We start from the raw sequence: 18,986 nt of genomic DNA on the forward strand, positions 1-18,986 counted from the left end.
CACAAGACAGGGATGCCCTCTCTCACCACTCCTATTCAACACAGTGTTGGAAGTTATGGCCAGGGCAATTAGGCAGGAGAAGGAAATAAAGGGTATTCAATTAGGAAAAGAGGAAGTCAAATTGTCCCTGTTTGCAGACGACATGATTGTATATCTAGAAAACCCCATTGTCTCAGCCCAAAATCTCCTTAAGCTGATAAGCAACTTCAGCAAAGTCTCAGGATACAAAATCAATGTACAAAAATCACAAGCATTCTTATACACCAACAACAGACAAACAGAGAGCCAAATCATGAGTGAACTCCCATTCACGATTGCTTCAAAGAGAATAAAATACCTAGGAATCCAACTTACAAAGGATGTGAAGGACCTCTTCAAGGAGAACTACAAACCACTGCTCAAGGAAATAAAAGAGGATACAAACAAATGGAAGAACATTCCATGCTCATGGGTAGGAAGAATCAATATCGTGAAAATGGCCATACTGCCCAAGGTAATTTACAGATTCAATGCCATCCCCATCAAGCTACCAATGACTTTCTTCACAGAATTGGAAAAAACTACTTTAAAGTTTATATGGAACCAAAAAAGAGCCCGCATCGCCAAGTCAATCCTAAGCCAAAAGAACAAAGCTGGAGGCATCACACTACCTGACTTCAAACTATACTGCAAGGCTACAGTAACCAAAACAGCATGGTACTGGTACCAAAACAGAGATATAGATCAATGGAACAGAACAGAGCCCTCAGAAATAACGCCACATACCTACAACTATCTGATCTTTGACAAACCTGAGAAAAACAAGCAATGGGGAAAGGATTCCCTATTTAATAAATGGTGCTGGGAAAACTGGCTAGCCATATGTAGAAAGCTGAAACTGGATCCCTTCCTTACACCTTATACAAAAATCAATTCAAGATGGATTAAAGATTTAAACGTTAGACCTAAAACCATAAAAACCCTAGAAGAAAACCTAGGCATTACCATTCAGGACATAGGCATGGGCAAGGACTTCATGTCTAAAACACCAAAAGCAATGGCAACAAAAGACAAAATTGACAAATGGGATCTAATTAAACTAAAGAGCTTCTGCACAGCAAAAGAAACTACCATCAGAGTGAACAGGCAACCTACAAAATGGGAGAAAATTTTCGCAACCTACTCATCTGACAAAGGGCTAATATCCAGAATCTACAGTGAACTCAAACAAATTTACAAGAAAGAAACAAACAACCCCATCAAAAAGTGGGTGAAGGACATGAACAGACACTTCTCAAAAGAAGACATTTATGCAGCCAAAAAACACATGAAAAAATGCTCATCATCACTAGCCATCAGAGAAATGCAAATCAAAACCACTATGAAATACCATCTCACACCAGTTAGAATGGCAATCATTAAAAAGTCAGGAAACAACAGGTGCTGGAGAGGATGTGGAGAAATAGGAACACTTTTACACTGTTGGTGGGACTGTAAACTAGTTCAACCATTGTGGAAGTCAGTGTGGCGATTCCTCAGGGATCTAGAGCTAGAAATACCATTTGACCCAGCCATCCCATTACTGGGTATATACCCAAATGACTATAAATCATGCTGCTATAAAGACACATGCACACATATGTTTATTGCGGCACTATTCACAATAGCAAAGACTTGGAACCAACCCAAATGTCCAACAATGATAGACTGGATTAAGAAAATGTGGCACATATACACCATGGAATACTATGCAGCCATAAAAAATGATGAGTTCATGTCCTTTGTAGGGACATGGATGAAATTGGAAATCATCATTCTCAGTAAACTATCGCAAGAACAAAAAACCAAACACCGCATATTCTCACTCATAGGTGGGAATTGAACAATGAGATCACATGGACACAGGAAGGGGAATATCACACTCTGGGGACTGTGGTGGGGTGGGGGGAGGGGGGAGGGATAGCATTGGGAGATATACCTAATGCTAGATGACAAGTTAGTGGGTGCAGCGCACCGGCATGGCACATGTATACATATGTAACTAACCTGCACAATGTGCACATGTACCCTAAAACTTAAAGTATAATAAAAAAAAATAAATAAATAAAATTAAAAAAAAAAAAGAGATTCCTTTTTTTGAGAATAAATTTTAATTGGTTATGGTTTTTACTGAAATGAGTTGATTAGATGTGTAGAGAAACTGCTATAATTTTTCATGTTTAAGGGAAAGCCAATAAAATATATATGAGGAAAAAAATAAAAATAAAAATAAAAATTTCTACAGTGTAAAAAAAAAAAAAAAAAAAAAAAAGAATTGTCATAATAGGCCTGAATGCCCCCTCCCAGTTTCTTTCATTTTACTCAATTATTTACCAACAATTAAAAAATGGGGAAAATTATTTAGGGCTGTTCAACTAGATATATACAAGTGTAGAGTGAGGAGCTTTAAGACATGAATGTCAGCTGAAGTGTTACAGCAGCATTCATTTGAACTGGCATATGGCTAAAGTGAAATCTGATTGTGGTTTTTTTCCCAAACTTCTGTAACGAGTGATGGATATGCTCAGAGAAGCAATTATTATAATAATTTTGTATACATATAGAAAAGACAAGACATTGAGTTGTTCCCCCTTCACCATTGTCTCTTCACTCCTGTGATTTGTGGGAAAATGTATGGAAAGGCACCAGTTTCTAATATTATAGTCATCTCAATATACAAATCCTGCTCAATGAATTTTACTGTGACCCTTTTGAATGACTGTGCAGAAACCTTAGCAATGTGGAAATTTGTAATCCCTTTATAAAGTTATCTGATTTTGAGAGGGACACCTTTCCAAGGTAAAAGTTATGAAGAAGATCACAATTCAATTAAGCTTATTTTGTTTCTGTCATCTCCTGTAAGTATGCACTGCATTAAAAACTACAGAATGACTACATTGGCAGGATCAAGGTTCACATATTGTTAGTGATCAGTCGTATCAATAATATGGCACTTGAAACGCTGTGATGAAAATGGCACTTATCTCTGTAGTCTTCTTCTTCCTCAGAATGTCCTAATTCTAGTCTAATCATGAGAAAAACATCAGACTATCCCAAATTGAGGGACATTCTACAAAACACTTGTCAAGTATTTCTCAAAAACAAGGAAGGGAGATAAGACAAATAAATACAAGATGATATTCTGGATGGGATCCCGGACCAGAAAACGGACCATAAGTATAAGCTAAGGAAATCTGAATAAAAGTATGGAGTTTAGTTTCAAAAGGAAACAAAACCCTATAGATTGCTTCATCATTCAAGTTTAAAACAAGTTTTATTGATACACCATTCAGTTTTTTGGCAGCATCATAGAACAATGCCAAATTTTGCATCCAATGGCAGTGACTTGATAACAAATGTGAGATGTTTCCTGGGACTTAATTCATTTGATTAACGCACCGATCACTATTACCAAACAACTTAACATGGTAAAAATTTTGCTCCATTTTATTCTTTTCTGCTTAGTAATTTCTATACTAAGAATGATATACGGGCTTTCTCCATTTCAAGAATGGATGGTGTTCTCAAAGACCATTTGAGAACAGTTGTTTGGACCCTGGATACATTTTCCTGTGATACTTGTATACTAAGTAGTAAGTGTCTTGTCACGTACATATCAAATAAATACTAATGGTTCTTTAAAATATACATGTGATTATTACCATTGGTAATTAACTGCTGTATAGACTTACTTATGAATTTCATTTTAAAATACTGATGCCTAGTCCCAAATCTCGAAGTTTTATCGAGTCTGTTTTTCACACAACCCATATTCTAATATGAATCTTGGGAAGGGAAGGAACCTCTGGTCTGTTATAGTTCTATTTCAAACATCCAAGACGTATTTTCCCCAACTACTGTTTGGGCATTAAATCAGGGTCTCCTGCCTGCCTGTTTTGCGTACCAGGAGTTGAAAGCAGGACTCCATGAAATGAAAACCTCTGGTATTATTTTCCCGAAGCAAGAGCTTTAGGAGCCTAGGATTGGAGGACAGGATTGGGAAGGGGACGATTGAGTAGCAAAAAGAGAAACTACAGGTACCAGGACTCTCTGCAAAGTTTGTATCTCTCAAGACACTTGGAATAATAGAACTGTCAAGCTGTAAGTGAGCTTCGTAGACATGTCCAATGCAAACCCTTCGTTTTGCAGAAAAGGGGATATCTTGCACAAGTTGGCCTGGGGCTAGCTTCCTGATAATTTCTTTTGTTATACTCCTAGAGGCCATGGAGGGTAACTTGTAATCTTATTTTCTTCTTTCCACACATTGCATTATACTGTCTTTTTATTGTTTGACCCACTACAACCATGACTATATCCCTAAGCCTTCTGTACATGAAGTTATGCAAAATTCATCAGAGATTTCCTATTCAGAAGATCGCTGCTAGTAACCATAGAGAAAAGGTGCAGCCTGGATTCTTATAAACATGAGAGAACACAGCAAAAATTTGGAAGCCAGAAATAAAAGCTGACTTCTAGTGTTTAAGTCCTGCCTTAACTTTCTGTTCCCAGTTCAATATTTCGACTGATCCCTTTGATTAATATTATAATTAAGACTAGTTTTAAGGTTTAAGATTAAATGTTTCCATCTTTCTTTGAATACCCTCCATTTAACAAATGACCTGCAAAACAAAGCAAAGACTCTTCTTAGTCTTCGGGTAGAAAAGGGATTTTTAAATTTGAAGGCAAAACGTGATTTGTCTTTAGCTATCCCTTCTTTAGAAATGAAGGCTATGGCAAAGATGTCCTCATGGAAATTGCAATGAGAGCTCTGTAGTAATGCATGATTTTTCCAGGGTGGCGTGAAGCAATAACATGAAGATGAGGGACGTTTACCTGCAGGCCTGAGTTGCTGCAGCAGTGAAAGCAGGAGGAGGAGTCATTTTCATCTATCTTCTTTCTCATTAAACCTCACCTCTCTGGCCCTGGGTAGCCATGCCATAATAGTCACCAACTCTGGACCACCCTGGTCTACAATAAAAAGCAAACAACTCAGGACTGAGGTTCAGAGAGACGCAGAAGAAAATGAAGAAATTAACTTGCACTGAGATGAGAGAGAATTTCCTCAGATCCCAGCTTCTAATGGCTGTGCATTTATATAAAGGAAATATCTATTCTGGCATGAATAAAGTTGAGAACTTCATGCATTTTTGTTTGAATACATATATGAGATTATTGATATTCTGTAAAGCAAAAAAGAATCATCACTAAATAACTTAATAAATGAACTTTTCATTATGGCCAATGATTCCATTAAAGTAACATATACCAAAAGGGAGAAAACCTTGAATTCTTTTCTGGCCAGTTCTTTATTCATGGACCTTTTTTAGAAAAAGAAAAATTTGGCCAGGCACGGTGCCTCACACCTGTAATCCCAACACTTTAGGAGGCCAAGGTGGGTGGATCACTTGAGTTCAGGAGTTGGAGACCATCCTGGCCAACATGGTGAAACCCTGTCTCTACAACAACACAAAAATTAGCTGGGTATGGTGGCATGTGCCTGTAGTCCCAGCTACTCAGGAGGCTGAGGCAGGAGACTCACTTGAACCCAGGAGGTAGAGGTTACAGTGAGTCCAGATCACACCACTGCACTCCAGCCTGAGTGACAGACGGAGACTCAGTCTCAAAAAAAAAGAAGGAGAAGGAGAAAGAGAAGAAGAAGAAAGAAGAAGAAAAAAGAAAAGAAAAATTTATTTCAAACTGTAAAAAAATTTCAAGATTAATTATTTAAAATGAATATTTGCCAATACATTTAAAGCTGACAATGGGTAGTATATTCTCATTCATCTTTTACAAATGCTGCTCTGATATTTGAATTTTTAAAACATCTCTTTTGAGTACCTGTGGACTTTCATTTTTGGCCTTTAATTTTATTGGAACACACACAGGCAGGAACCACGTTGTAGGCAAGAACACGTAAGTGCTTAGCTGTAGGGAGGCCAAAATTGTTCTAGACTGAAATGTGTAGTAAAAGAACATATTACTCAAATATATTTTATAACTTTTACATTTGCCTTTGTTTTTCAAATATAAGGACATTACAAAAACTGCAGATAGAATCAGATAGTAAAAATTATTATAGCCCAGAAGTCAGAATGGCAGTCTTCTATGCCTAGGTCTTTATGACCTTAGCTAAAGTCATTTAACATCTCCAGATTAGTTCCTTTATTTAAAAAAAAGCAATGTGGAGGTTAAACTAGATGAGGTCCACTGTTTTGAAGTGTGTTGGCATTTTAAGATTTTGAGATAAAAACATCTTTAAAATGGTGACTCTCTGCTGTCATGTTTAAAAGGAAAATTATTTATGTGGAATAAGCATAAATATGCTATGATGTGAAACATGCCCAAGGTCCTAATTTTTCCGGTGTTTAATTATTGAAACCAATCACTTATCAGCAGCTGGTTTACCCAGGTGCAAAATAGAAGTAAAAGTATTTGTTATCTTATCTTCACAAAGAATCAGCCAGGATAAATTAAATAAGAGAGATTTTAAAGTCGTAGAAGAAAGGTGCTTTCTAAATACAGAATATTTGCATTACTATCATTCTTATTATGCAGCAGATATACGAAATGCAATTTTCCTGTATATTCCCGTTGGCTATAGCTCCTCAAGAAAATGTATTTGAAAAATAAGTGGAACTATTTCATGACTAGAGTGCTCAAAGAAAAGTCTATTTCTGAAAACCACAATTTTGGAAATAGCAGGAGCAAACTAACGTTATCTCAAATTCCCTGAAGAAGAGATTATATTTTCCAGAGTAAATTGATATAATGAAATACTTCAGATTCATTAAATTACTTTTACACTTTCTATTTCTTTAAGTTATTCCTTCCACTGCTAAAAGGATGGTGATTACACCTAGATGCTGTACAACAAGAATACATTAGAAATTGGCCCTTTTTGCTTAGAATTTTAGAAGTCTTCTTGTTTAAAGAGATTTTTTAAAACTTTATAGTAATAGGTACTTTAGAAAATTTTTTAATTTGAAAACATGATTTAGCAGAAAATAACTCCCCATACAAAGAAACGCTAAGATGGTTCTTTTTGATTTCCAATGAAGTCAAAAGATTCTGCCTTCAAAGCTTAGTTATCAATAAGACTCTTTGTATAGCAATTAAATTAATAAGAGATGATTGATGACTTGATTATAGAATCTACCCATTTTTATTTTAGTGTCTAAGCTTATTTAATTTCAAGCATTTGAAAATCGAGGGAATAAGGACATGTATCTCCTAACATTTTCCACGTACACAAAAAGTTGCAATGAGGCAACAGTCCCTGTAGTTTAAGCCCAAATCACATCTTCCTTTTTAAACGTGAAAATATCTTTTATTGGTTCAGTTTTCAATGCTACTTTCTCTATATATAGGTATTCTTCTGACAGAAGTAAATAAAATATTTATTATTATATATTAAATAATATATTAATAATTAATAAATAATACTTTAAAAATATATACTTTAATATATATTTAAATATATATTAAGATATATTTAAATATATACCTTAATATATATTTAAATATATATTTAGATATATTTAAATATATTTAAATATACTTTAATATATATTTAAATATTTTTATATATTTAAATATTATAAAATATTTAAATAATACTTTTTTAATAAACTTTTTAAAATATATATATATTTAAATATACTTTAAATATATATTTAAAATATATTTAAAAATATTAAAAATATTAAAAATATAAAAAAATAAAATATATAAAAAAATTTAAAAGAATACTTTTTATTTACTTTTCCAGACTTGCAGATTAGTCAATACACTAAGCTTTATTAAATCAGGAACAATTATCACATAAAATCCTGTGTACCAAATGTTCATTCAGTACATGGCCAGCATTATATTTTGGATATATCATAGACCAGATCTATATATTTTGGGCTTAAGGCTCACTTTCTCAATGTTCTTACTCCTTTTTCAAACTGTTTCTGTAGATAATTATTTACAGATTGCAGTGCTCTTTGGTTACATAAAAAATGAAAGAGGATTTCTGGGCATTTATCTGAACATTTAAGTAAGCTGGGATTCTGAATTGATTTTTCCACTAAATTTATACTTATTACTTAAGTGTATATTTATCAGTATTCCCAGAAAGGCTAAGACATTGAAGAAATCAGAGTTGGAAGGACAAAGTCACTAGCAGAACCAGGAACACAAGTGATGAGCTTTTGATAAGCCAGGATGCTCTCTTGTAGCATTTTAAAATCCAGGGTAGACCTTGATGTTCTTACTGAATCTCATCTTACCTACTACAGTTATGGAATAAGAAATAAACTCAGTCATACATGACAGTTCATGTGTGTTTACTAAAACATTTTATTTTCGTAGTTTTCCCCAAGAATTGATCGATCTAAACTCAAGAGGAAATGAAAGTATACTGAAGAGCAGATGAGTCCAGGCAAAGCCAGGCTAACTGATTTGCATGTGGATTGGTAGATGTTAACACCATTTTATTTATTTATTTATTTATTTATTTATTTATTTATTTATTTATTTATTTATTTGTTGGAGGCACTTAGAGTAGACTTCTGTAGCTCATTTGGATTATGGATGACCTGGGCTAAAACTAATAGGGCTATATTTGCCTTTTGTTCTGTTGGCTCTGAATTACCCATCTGGAACTATAGTTATGTTCCTTTTGCATGTGGACTTTACTTTTAAATGGTACATAATATTGTCTGCTTTGTAAAATAATGCTGAGTTACTTCTGTTATTGGAATGGCAAGGTGAAAGTAAAATTCTGAGTTTCACAAATTTTGTCCTGGGTTGAAACATTATATTTGGTTTCCAATACATAGGGAGAGATGTTTAGTTCTTAATAATAATGGTCAGTCATAAGGTGTAGCATCTGACTCTGTTAATTTAAAATGACAGAATTGATTCAAGGGTATTACATCAAGAATGGAAAACAATTGTGAATAATAAGGGACACTTGATTCTTATTCCTTGGTTTTGTAGAGACTGGTAATATTGGAAGAAATGGAAATATAATAACTAATGACTATTATCTATTTTCCAAAGAAATGTGAATATGATACTGTGCAGATACGTGATTTTAGAAAGAGAGATGGGGAAGGGGAGGAAGAGACTGAGATTATTCTATTATTGTTTTCTTGTTTCTAAACCATGCATATGTATCTTGGTCTCATTTTTATACTTGTAACTTTACATTTTTATTGTTTTTAGAGCCTCCTTTGGTGAATAAACAGAAATGAAAAGGTGAAAATCAAATCAACTTTGTTACTCCTTAGTTCTTAAAAGTTCAATATTTCATTATTTAAAGAGTCCCCTATAGGCCAGTTGTGGTGGCTCATGCCTGTAATCCCAGCACTTTGGGAGGCCGAGGCAGGCGGATCACCTGAGGTCGGGAGTTCAAGACCAGCCTGACCAACATGGTGAAACCCCATCTCTACTAAAAATACAAAATGAGCCATGCGTGGTGGTGCATGCCTATAATCCCAGCTACTCAGGAGGCTGAGGCAGGAGAATCACTTGAATCCTGGAGGCAGAGGTTGCAGTGAGCCGAGATCATGCCATTGCACTCCAGCCTGGGCAACAAGAGTGAAACACAGTCTCAAAAAAAAAAAAAAAAAAAAAAAGAGTCGCCTATAAGGATTAGCTATTGTCTGTGGTTTCTAATCACCATAGCCCCAGATGAATCTTATAATCAGACATATTTGATTTGAGAAATGATGTATTACTTCTGCCTTCTTCACACAACATACTTATCTTGTTGTATATTTGTATTGTGTGTTGTTAACCTACTTTATGGCTTTATAAGCTCCCTATAGGTATAAGCACAGAAGGCATGTCAGTGTTTGCACTTTTCTGGGAAGAGAATTCACAGCTTTTGCCCTATACTAAAATAATAATAACAATAATAATTTTTTTAAAAAATCATTGTCTCAAACTAAATTAAAAATGATTAGAAAATGTGTTATATACTATTTTATATTTTAAGCAACCAAATACCAGAAACTGCATTTCTTACTAAAAGTATTTCTGCTAGCATTTGACAACTGTCCTCCCCTAAACACTGTTGCACAAATGGATTTTAAAATTGCATGAAACTGGGCCTAATTCCTCAGACCCAGTATCCCACAGTAATAAGTTAGATAGGAACTTGGGTTGCACATTTATCTCCTCAGGCAAAAGAAGGTTGTTTAATAAAATAACAGGTATTTACTTAACCATTTATTTAGCCATCTTCCTCACTTAAACTTTTATCAATTCTAAAGAAAACAGAACATAATTAATTAATTCAAATTATCTTCAAATAATTCTCAAGTAAAGAAAAAGAATGAAAATGTCCCTCCCAGTTATGGCAAGAAACAGTTAAATATCCGAAAAATCTAAAACATCCACAGTTTAGCCCCTTTATATAGGTTCATTATGCAGTGATTTTCATGTTAAAACAACTATTAATTCAAAAAGTGAAAGTGTGTGCAGAGTCTCTGTGAAAATGTGACTCTTGTCTCTAAAAATAATCTGCCGAGACCAGCTCGGTCGGGGAGACCCTAACCCAGCGGTGCTAGAGGAATTAAAGACGCACACACAGAAATATAGAGGTGTGAAGTGGGAAATCATGGGTCTCACAGCTTTCAGAGCTGAGAGCCCCGAACAGAGATTTACCCACATATTTATTAACAGCAAACCAGTCATTAGCATTGTTTATATAGATATTAAATTAACTAAAAGTATCCCTTATGGGAAACGAAGGGATGGGCCAAATTAAAGAAATACGTTGGGCTAGTTAAATGCAGCAGGAACATGCCTTTAAGGCATAAATCGCTCATGCTATTGTTTGTGGCTTAAGAATGCCTTTGAGTGGTTTTCCGCCCTGGGCGGGCCAGGTGTTCCTGGCCCTCATTCCTGTAAACCCACAACCTTCCAGTGCGGGCATTAGGGCCATTATGAACATGTTACAGTGCTGCAGAGATTTTGTTTATGGCCAGTCTTCGGGCCAGTTTATGGCCAGATTTTGGGGGGCTTGCTCCCAACATAATCCAACAAGAAAAATAAATGCATATAAAATATTAAGCAAACTAAGATTTCTTGAGTGGAAAAGATAAACAGTTATGGTTACTTTTCTATATTATTTGACTTTCCCAAAAATCAGGACCTGAAACAAGTACAAACAGAATGGAGGATCAAGAGGACGACTATTCAAAGACCGCTTCAAAATGTATCTTACCAATAAGATAAAATCACACAACTAGGTAGTGTTTTAAAAATTCACCTAGTAATGTTAGCAAAGTAATTAGCAAAGACTAGCAAAGCGTGATTACAACATTACCAATATCTTTGCATCAAAACGTGAAATATTTTAACTATAATTGGTACTTCCCGTATATAGGGAAGTATATATTTAAGTGGATTTTGATGGTTAAAGAGAAAATTTCTACCATTTAAGATGAAACTTAATATACTCATCCTATTAATTAAATACTATCAGTAATTAGTCAGGTAATAGCTATAAACAAAGTCGAGAGGTCTTTGCTGTAGATATGCAAACATAAAGTAACTGCCTTATAACTTTTGCGCCCTGTATCTGCCTTTTGTTAGCAATGTTGCCTTTCTCTTCTTTTCCTTCCTTTCCTTTCTCTTTTCTTTCCTTTCTTTTCTTTTCCTTCTTTTCCTTTCCTTTCCTTTTTTTCTCCCTTTCCTTCCCCCTTCCCCCTTCCCCACGCTTCCCCCTTCTCCCCCCGCCTCCTTCCCTCCCCTTCCCTCCCCTTCCCTCCCCTTCCCTCCCCTTCCCTCCCCTTCCCTCCCCTTCCCTCTCCTTCCCTTCCCTTCCTTCCTCTCTTTCTTTCTCTTTCTCTGTCTTTTCTAAGCTGTGTTGGCTATTTCAGAACTATTGTTTATTCCTATTGCTCTAGGACCAGAAGAGCAGGGCCCAAGACCAATGTAAAAAAGCCCCCAACCTTCTTGCCAAAATGTCTCATCCTCAGACTCACTGGATAGCTACTTATCTCCTGGGCCATTTTAATCCACCCCAAAAATCTTGTGTGACTTATGGAACTTCCTGAGGCTTTCAGAAGATATAGAACTATAGGTTTTAACTCTTACTGTGCATCAAAATCACCTGGGAGCTTTTTAAAAGTAGGGATGTCTAGGTAGCACCTCCAGAAATTTCTCATTCACTTGGTCTGTGGCAAGGCTTAAATTAATTGTTTTTAAAAGATGCTCAGGTAGCTGTAATGTGCAACAAAAGGCTAGAATCCCTCCACTAATCTATGTGTACTTCCAGCCTAACTTCACAAGGCCCCAAAATGAGAATTTTGGGGGTGCTTTCAAGGATTACAAATAATAACACCATACTTTGAATATATGAAATGGTATCAAAATAGTCTGAAAGAGTTCACCCTGTTTGTTAGCTGGGCGTAGTGACGCACACGTGTAATCCCAGCTACTTGGGAGGCTGAGGCACGAGAATAGCTTGAAACCTGGGAAGTGGAGGTTGCAGTGAGCCAAGATTGCACCGCTGCACTCTAGCCTCAGCCTGGGTGACACAGCAAGACTCTGTCTAAAAAAAACAAAAAGCAAAAAACAAAAAACCAAAAAAACAAGTTTCACCCTGTTTGCACCTGAGATTTCTAAATCCAACAAACACGTGGATTATTATTCAACAACGATCTCATTAAGGATTTAATTATCCAGGCGGCCAGGAAATGCTTGACCACATACAGTCACAGGGTCTGATCTCAACAGATGTCTTTTTTCAGCACCTGTTGGAGTCAACTTTGCCGCTAGCCCTTTCAATGGGATGGAGTTTTAATTTTCCAAAAGTAGCAAGCCAGCTGGAATGCTAGAAATGCACATTTGCTGCTTCTGTTCCATTCTAGTAAACCATCTCCCGGATCACTATGTTGATCTCTTGAGTGTGTAGTTAATGACAGATGTCTACAAACACCATTAGGATGGACTAGCAGCCTTGTTTGTAAAAGTTTATTGGAGGGAGTTGATTTCACATAATTAGCCAATAATGGAAAACAATGTTGTTTTTACCGTCTGAGAAGCCTGTCAACAATTGACTTGTTAAAAAACTAGAAATGTGATTGTAAATTGAAGAATGCAGAAAGCTTACCTAGAAAGCTGTTTCACAAATCCCCCAAGTGGAGAGTCTAAATTTGTGTTTGATGGTAATGGAATAGCTAATGTGTTACACAGCTTAATGTTAAACATACCCATGGCTGATTCTATGCAAAAGTATACATAAATAGGCTGTGTTAGTATCATTACCTCAAGTGCATTCATCATTTCTATCTATAGTGTAATACTGAATCAGGTGTTGCTGAGCTGAAGGTCACGGGTTATGCATAGCTATTGAAATACTTTATTTTTGAGACAGCTGAATTACTCCCTGACCTGACGTTAGTGAGTGGGCAGATCATCTTCATCTTTATGCCTTCCTGTCCTTTCTAAAAATAGCAGGGCCTTTGACAAGGATATATTTTAAGCAGCTCATATTCACTTGTCTCATCAGGAGAAGCTTATTTTGGCCACTTGCATGCGTCAGGTTTGCATGTGTGCATAGTTAGACTTTTGGAATAGCAGTCCATGCTTCTCCACACCACTCATATAAGAAACTTGCAAACATAAAGACACTGAGATTGCTAGCTGAGAGTATTGGCTACAAGTCAGTGGGTACACAAAAATGAAGGGAAGACACTTTTTAGGAATGTGACTATGCTTCCGAAATCATCCATTTCGGACATTTGTACATCAGTTCTCAGCTTCTCGGATCTGTTTTCATAAAACCTGGCTGTGATTTCGCTCCAGAGACCTCCGTGATCTTGCCGCTTTTAATAAATATTTATAGGAGGCACTGCCAGCCTGTGGATAAGGGAAACTGATGAGAAACTGCCATCCGAAATCTGAACGGCAAAAACAAAACCAAGCAAAACCAAAAAATCTAAAACAAAACCAAAAAAGAACAACTCAAACAATCCGTGTTCACAAGAAGACGCGTAGAAAAAGACCACCATGTAACTTTGATTTGATAACTGGATTTATCAGTCACTTGACTGGCATGCAGTGGGTACTTTGCATTTTTCTACCGTACTTTGAAACACAAGTGCAAATTTATGTTATTCTGCACAACTGGGACCAAAAAATTATGAGTGTGAGAAAACACAAACTCTAAAAGCAAGATGGAATGTAAGCAGGTAAACCCTGTTCCACAGTCATGTCATTCTGGTACAGATGTACGTGGTACTCGTGTTTGCACCTCTAAGAAATTTCCATTTTTTCACATCAAAAAATCCAGATATGAAGCTGAAGCGGCTTTCTTCGCCAACCTGAAGCTGTCTGATTTCAACATCATTGATACCCTTGGAGTTGGAGGTTTCGGACGAGTAGAACTGGTAGGTGATTGTTCTTTAAATGCTTTTGATCGCCTCTGCTTCCTTTTTAATTTTTTCCCCTAGATTAAGATTTCTTTCTTTTCTCTTGTTTTGTCTTTCATCATTAATTACCATGATTCCTAAATCAGTTCCAAATACTTTGCGGCAGACATGTCATAATTAGACACAAAGTGGGCTAAATTATGCAGTCAACGACTAAAAATAAAATAACACCTTGCTTTTTAGAAAACCTCTTCATATTAAGTGTAAGGTAAACACATTTACTTAAAGAAGAGTCATTAAGAACTTCTTACCCAACTAATTTTCTATAATCTTTATTTCCTTAGTTCTGAGTGGTGCTTACTAACAATTATGCACCCTAACAACAATTACAATAATTTAAATGTAAATATAAATACATATAAAGGGAAATCGAAGAGATATATATGAAGTAAATGGTGTTGTAGTAGCAATTCTGTGATTCTGTAGTTGCAAGTACCTATTTCTAGTCCTAACAGTTTGAATATTTTATATAGTTTATTTCACACACACTGTCTGTATACATATGTATACACATATACATACATCTATATATTCATGAAGATGATGATGACACTTTGTACAAGTTCATACATTAAATACATTGCATGAATGTGGTGTAAACAATATGAAAACGTACTCTACTTTGCATTTATTTGAAATATAAATTTTAAAACTGACATAGTGTCACAAGAATTAGAAAAAAATGTACTCTTATGACTAACTGCATTTCAAGACGGTGTGGCTATAAACCCTAATTGAGAATGCAGATTGATTTCCACCTCTCTGCTGAACATAGAGGAGTTCCTGATATCAGACACCAGTACAGTATGTGAGGAACTCCCTGAGACTGTGTACAGTGCAGTAAACAGTTACCGTTGCCATCAGGGGTCAGGAGAAATCCCCTTCCTTAAAAGTACATTGACCCAGTACTATTTTTATATTTGTCTATTTGTATTGCAGTTGGAATTTCTGACTTGAACAGGTAGAAAGATGTTATTTACTTAAATATTAGATGAGAAGGTTTTAGAGCCATATGCCTCACTGAATTGGTATTATGCTTCCCTTAACACTGGTTGGAGATACTGTAGTAATATCACCTGTGACTTGAAAGTCCATAGTGTGCCTTTGACAATATGAGTATTTTCAGTTCTGGGAGAAAAAAAAAAAAAAGTAAGGTTCTAGACAAACCTCTTGCTTTTCTGAACCCTACCAATTAATGTAGCCATGGATTTATTTTTTAAGAACTTTGGTTTTGTGGCAAATCATAATTGTCTGTATAGCTAATAAAGATTCATTAACAGCATTATACATGAACTGCTTTGATTTGGAGGTGTTGGGACATACAGGCAGGAAAGAGGACAGAGCTCCCTGCCATACAGGATTTATTTTCTGGTGTGTTTATATAGTTGCGTATTTCTAAAACAGTCTCCAAATGAAGCAGTATAAGGGACAGAATTTCTCAGAGAGTGATTGTAGGACTGTTATAGGTCCTTAAATATTATTTTTTAAAGACGAAGGACAATAAAACTACTATTTTTGTTGACAAAAAAAAAATCAGTGTTACAACTTTGTGAACTCTTAGAAGTTTGATAACTTAAATGGTGATCTTTGAAGTTACCAGTGAGATATTACATGAAATATAGGAATTTACTTAAGATTTTTGAAATACTGAAAATAACTTACAGGCACTGAAATCATTTCAAGCTAGAGAACTGAATACCAAGCTGATAGTGCAAATCTTCTAGAAGATCCTCTGAAAAGCAAATGAGGAGGTACAAACAAAATTTTGATTAGCCTCAAAATTGGGAAGAATTTAATGTGGGCATATAAAAGTTAGTTTAAAAACAAAAATTTGCATGTGTGCTCTCGTGTGTGTGCACACATGTGTATGCTCATTTCTGTGTATTCATGTGCATGTTTGAGTATATATATCATATATATACATATATATGTACATATAATCTCCATCCCCAGAGAAATACCAGATAGCCTAATTTTCCTCTCATGGATATTATATTTTACTCTTTTAGACAGATGTTTATATATAATGAACACCATAGTCCTAAGAATTAATTGAGATTGGAACTATAGCCCACTTTGCAAAAACTGTAGATATTACTGCTGAGTGATAAATTCAAAATGGATCATTGGGTACAACTTCTACATCGGGACGGAGTGCACGTCCTTAACCTTTTACGGCCACATCAGCTTTTGTTGTCTTGTACATCCACAACACACTGTAGACAATCAGAATGCCTATATTGTCTTCAGTATTCAATGTGGACCAGCCACTTAAGTGATCACTAATACCTTATTTTCCCAATTCTTGCCACTTACTAATTGCCTGATAATATTACTTTTGGGGTATTAAAATATTATCTGTGATTGTTCATCTTTTACATACATTCAATGATGCTGGAATTGGGAGTTTGGCCTCATCACTTTGCCCATAATTGTACATAACATTGTCACGGAATATAATCAATCACCATAAGGGTAACAGTGTACCATCAGAGTTAGGAGTAAGATGTAGGCAGAGACCAGTTCTTTTGTGATTACAGAAGTTTTACTCTCCTCTGAGAATGACGCATGCAAGATAATCTTGTCAATATTATAAAGTGCTATTGAAGCAATATCTAAGCAATAAATCTTCATATAAGCTAATTTCATATTTATGTACACAGTGCTCAACATGTTAATACAAAGTATATAATACTTAGTGTCTTAGTTTAGCAGTAATGTTGAGCAGGTAAATGACATTTCAAGATAATACCATAAGTTACACTTTAATTTTAAAATAGTATTTTAAAAAATTTCCCAGAAATAAGATTATAAAATTATAAACCCTCCAGTGGAGTATAAAGAATTTAGAAATTTGAATTTTTGAACTTCATTTCCTGTTAGAGTGAAGTTAAGAATGTAGTTTTCTCATCACTGTTTGACATACAGATTGTGTTTGTGTGTGAAGGTAGTTACACCCTTCACAGACTTTTTAGCATTTCTTAATTTTTATCATTCATGTCAATTTAGATAAATGTAGATGCAGAAGTATTTTTCTACAGGAGAATTTATAAATAGTTTATTATCAATTTTTGGACGTGAGTACATAATTTTGCCACATAATAAGAAACTTAAATGTGTTCAGTAAAGAGTCCAGAAGCTTAAAGTGAAGATCTTTTAGGCATAGGAATTGTAGTCTTAAGCTATTCAGTCTCTTCCTAAATACTCTCAGCATAACTGACATTCACTTGTTTAATATCAGACAGTATCCTGTTCACAACCATTTCCTCTGGGCAGTCATTTGGACTGCTTTCCTTTCTGTTTTCTGGCATGTGCCATATTTTCTGCCTATGTTCTTTATTTTTAAGAATGGTCTTTCTAATGTGTTCAGTTACTGTCTGTTTACAGTATGTCTTCCAGGAGAACACATTCCATTTATAGTATCACTTTCAGCAAAAGAACTCAGCTCTCTTTTTATATATGACTTATTAATTAAAGCTCTAAGCACTGCTGTAAGTCATCTAGGTAATCGTCTTCATTTACAAAGTATAACTGTAAAATAAGGAGGTTGTTTTACAAATTACAAGTGAAAATTAGTCCCATTGCCTTATAGTCATATTCCCAATTTACTCTACTTTTGTCCCTGCGAGAAAGGCACCTGCTTTTCAGAATAGATTTGTATGACTCAAAGACAAACTGATTTTTTAATATGCCAATAATATGTAGTCGGTGCTTTAAATATTAGATATTTAATCTGTTTATTTAGCAATCCACATATCTCCTATACCAGAGCGGCAAACTTGGATAAAGCACAGGAACAAATATAAGATAAACATAACCTCTGTCTTTTTGGATTATATTCTTTCTGCATCAGTTATTATGTATATATGTAGTGAGCTCTATGATTGAAGATAAAAAATTTAATAAATAGAATAGTTCTTAGCTCTAGAGACTCACAGTCTACTGGGAGGGGCAATCATGTAAACTAATAAACTCATAAGCAAAGCATGATCAGCAGGGGTTCAGTGTGTGGAGGAACAAGACGTCTTGCAGGAGATAGCATTTCTGAGGCAGAGGGAGAGTTAAGGCATCAACATAAGTAACCTGATGCATTATGGAACATACTTAGTAAAATGAAACTATTGAAGAAACAAATGTTTATTAATAAATATTATTTCTTTAATAAAATAACCTTTCATTTGAACCCTACTTTATAATCTTCAAATTACTTTCATGTTCATTGTATAATTTTGCCCTTATAGCTACTCTGTGAGGAGAACATGAGACATGATCCACATTTTACAGGAAAGAAGACAAGAATAATGTATTTATGTGGTTTAAGGCCACTTAGTCATTGAAAGAGCTGTTGTTATTGCCCAGAATTACTGATTTTTTAACTAGAAGCTTTTTCTGCCATTCTGGGTTTTAAAAATATTTGGATTCTTACCACCACCATCAACAACCACCCCCAAATCAAACAAGTGTTACTTCATTGTTATATGTACACCTTTGCTTTAAAAAAATTCTTCTGGAATTCAAGAACCTGAATTAGAA

The 18,986-nt window shown here is 35.1% G+C and overlaps 1 protein-coding gene and 1 long non-coding RNA gene across 5 annotated transcripts in view; one reads left to right on the forward strand and one right to left on the reverse strand.

Moving 5' to 3' along the window:
* Positions 1 to 16,262, reverse strand: part of LOC124902425 (uncharacterized) — a 56,483-nt gene extending 40,221 nt beyond the window's left edge. The window contains exon 1 of the long non-coding RNA XR_007062145.1: positions 16,116 to 16,262. This is a non-coding gene — a long non-coding RNA (uncharacterized LOC124902425). The remainder of the gene's footprint in view (positions 1 to 16,115) is intronic.
* The window catches only part of PRKG1 (protein kinase cGMP-dependent 1), a 1,307,463-nt gene that overhangs the window by 1,246,368 nt on the left and 42,109 nt on the right, over positions 1 to 18,986 (forward strand). For all 4 annotated transcript variants that reach the window (NM_001098512.3, XM_017016413.2, NM_006258.4 and 1 more), the window contains one exon: positions 14,315 to 14,411. In NM_001098512.3, the coding sequence (NP_001091982.1) occupies positions 14,315 to 14,411 (97 nt within the window). The remainder of the gene's footprint in view (positions 1 to 14,314; positions 14,412 to 18,986) is intronic.

The sequence above is a fragment of the Homo sapiens genome, chromosome 10 (assembly GCF_000001405.40).
Source record: "Homo sapiens chromosome 10, GRCh38.p14 Primary Assembly".
Classification (NCBI taxonomy): Eukaryota; Metazoa; Chordata; class Mammalia; order Primates; family Hominidae; genus Homo; species Homo sapiens.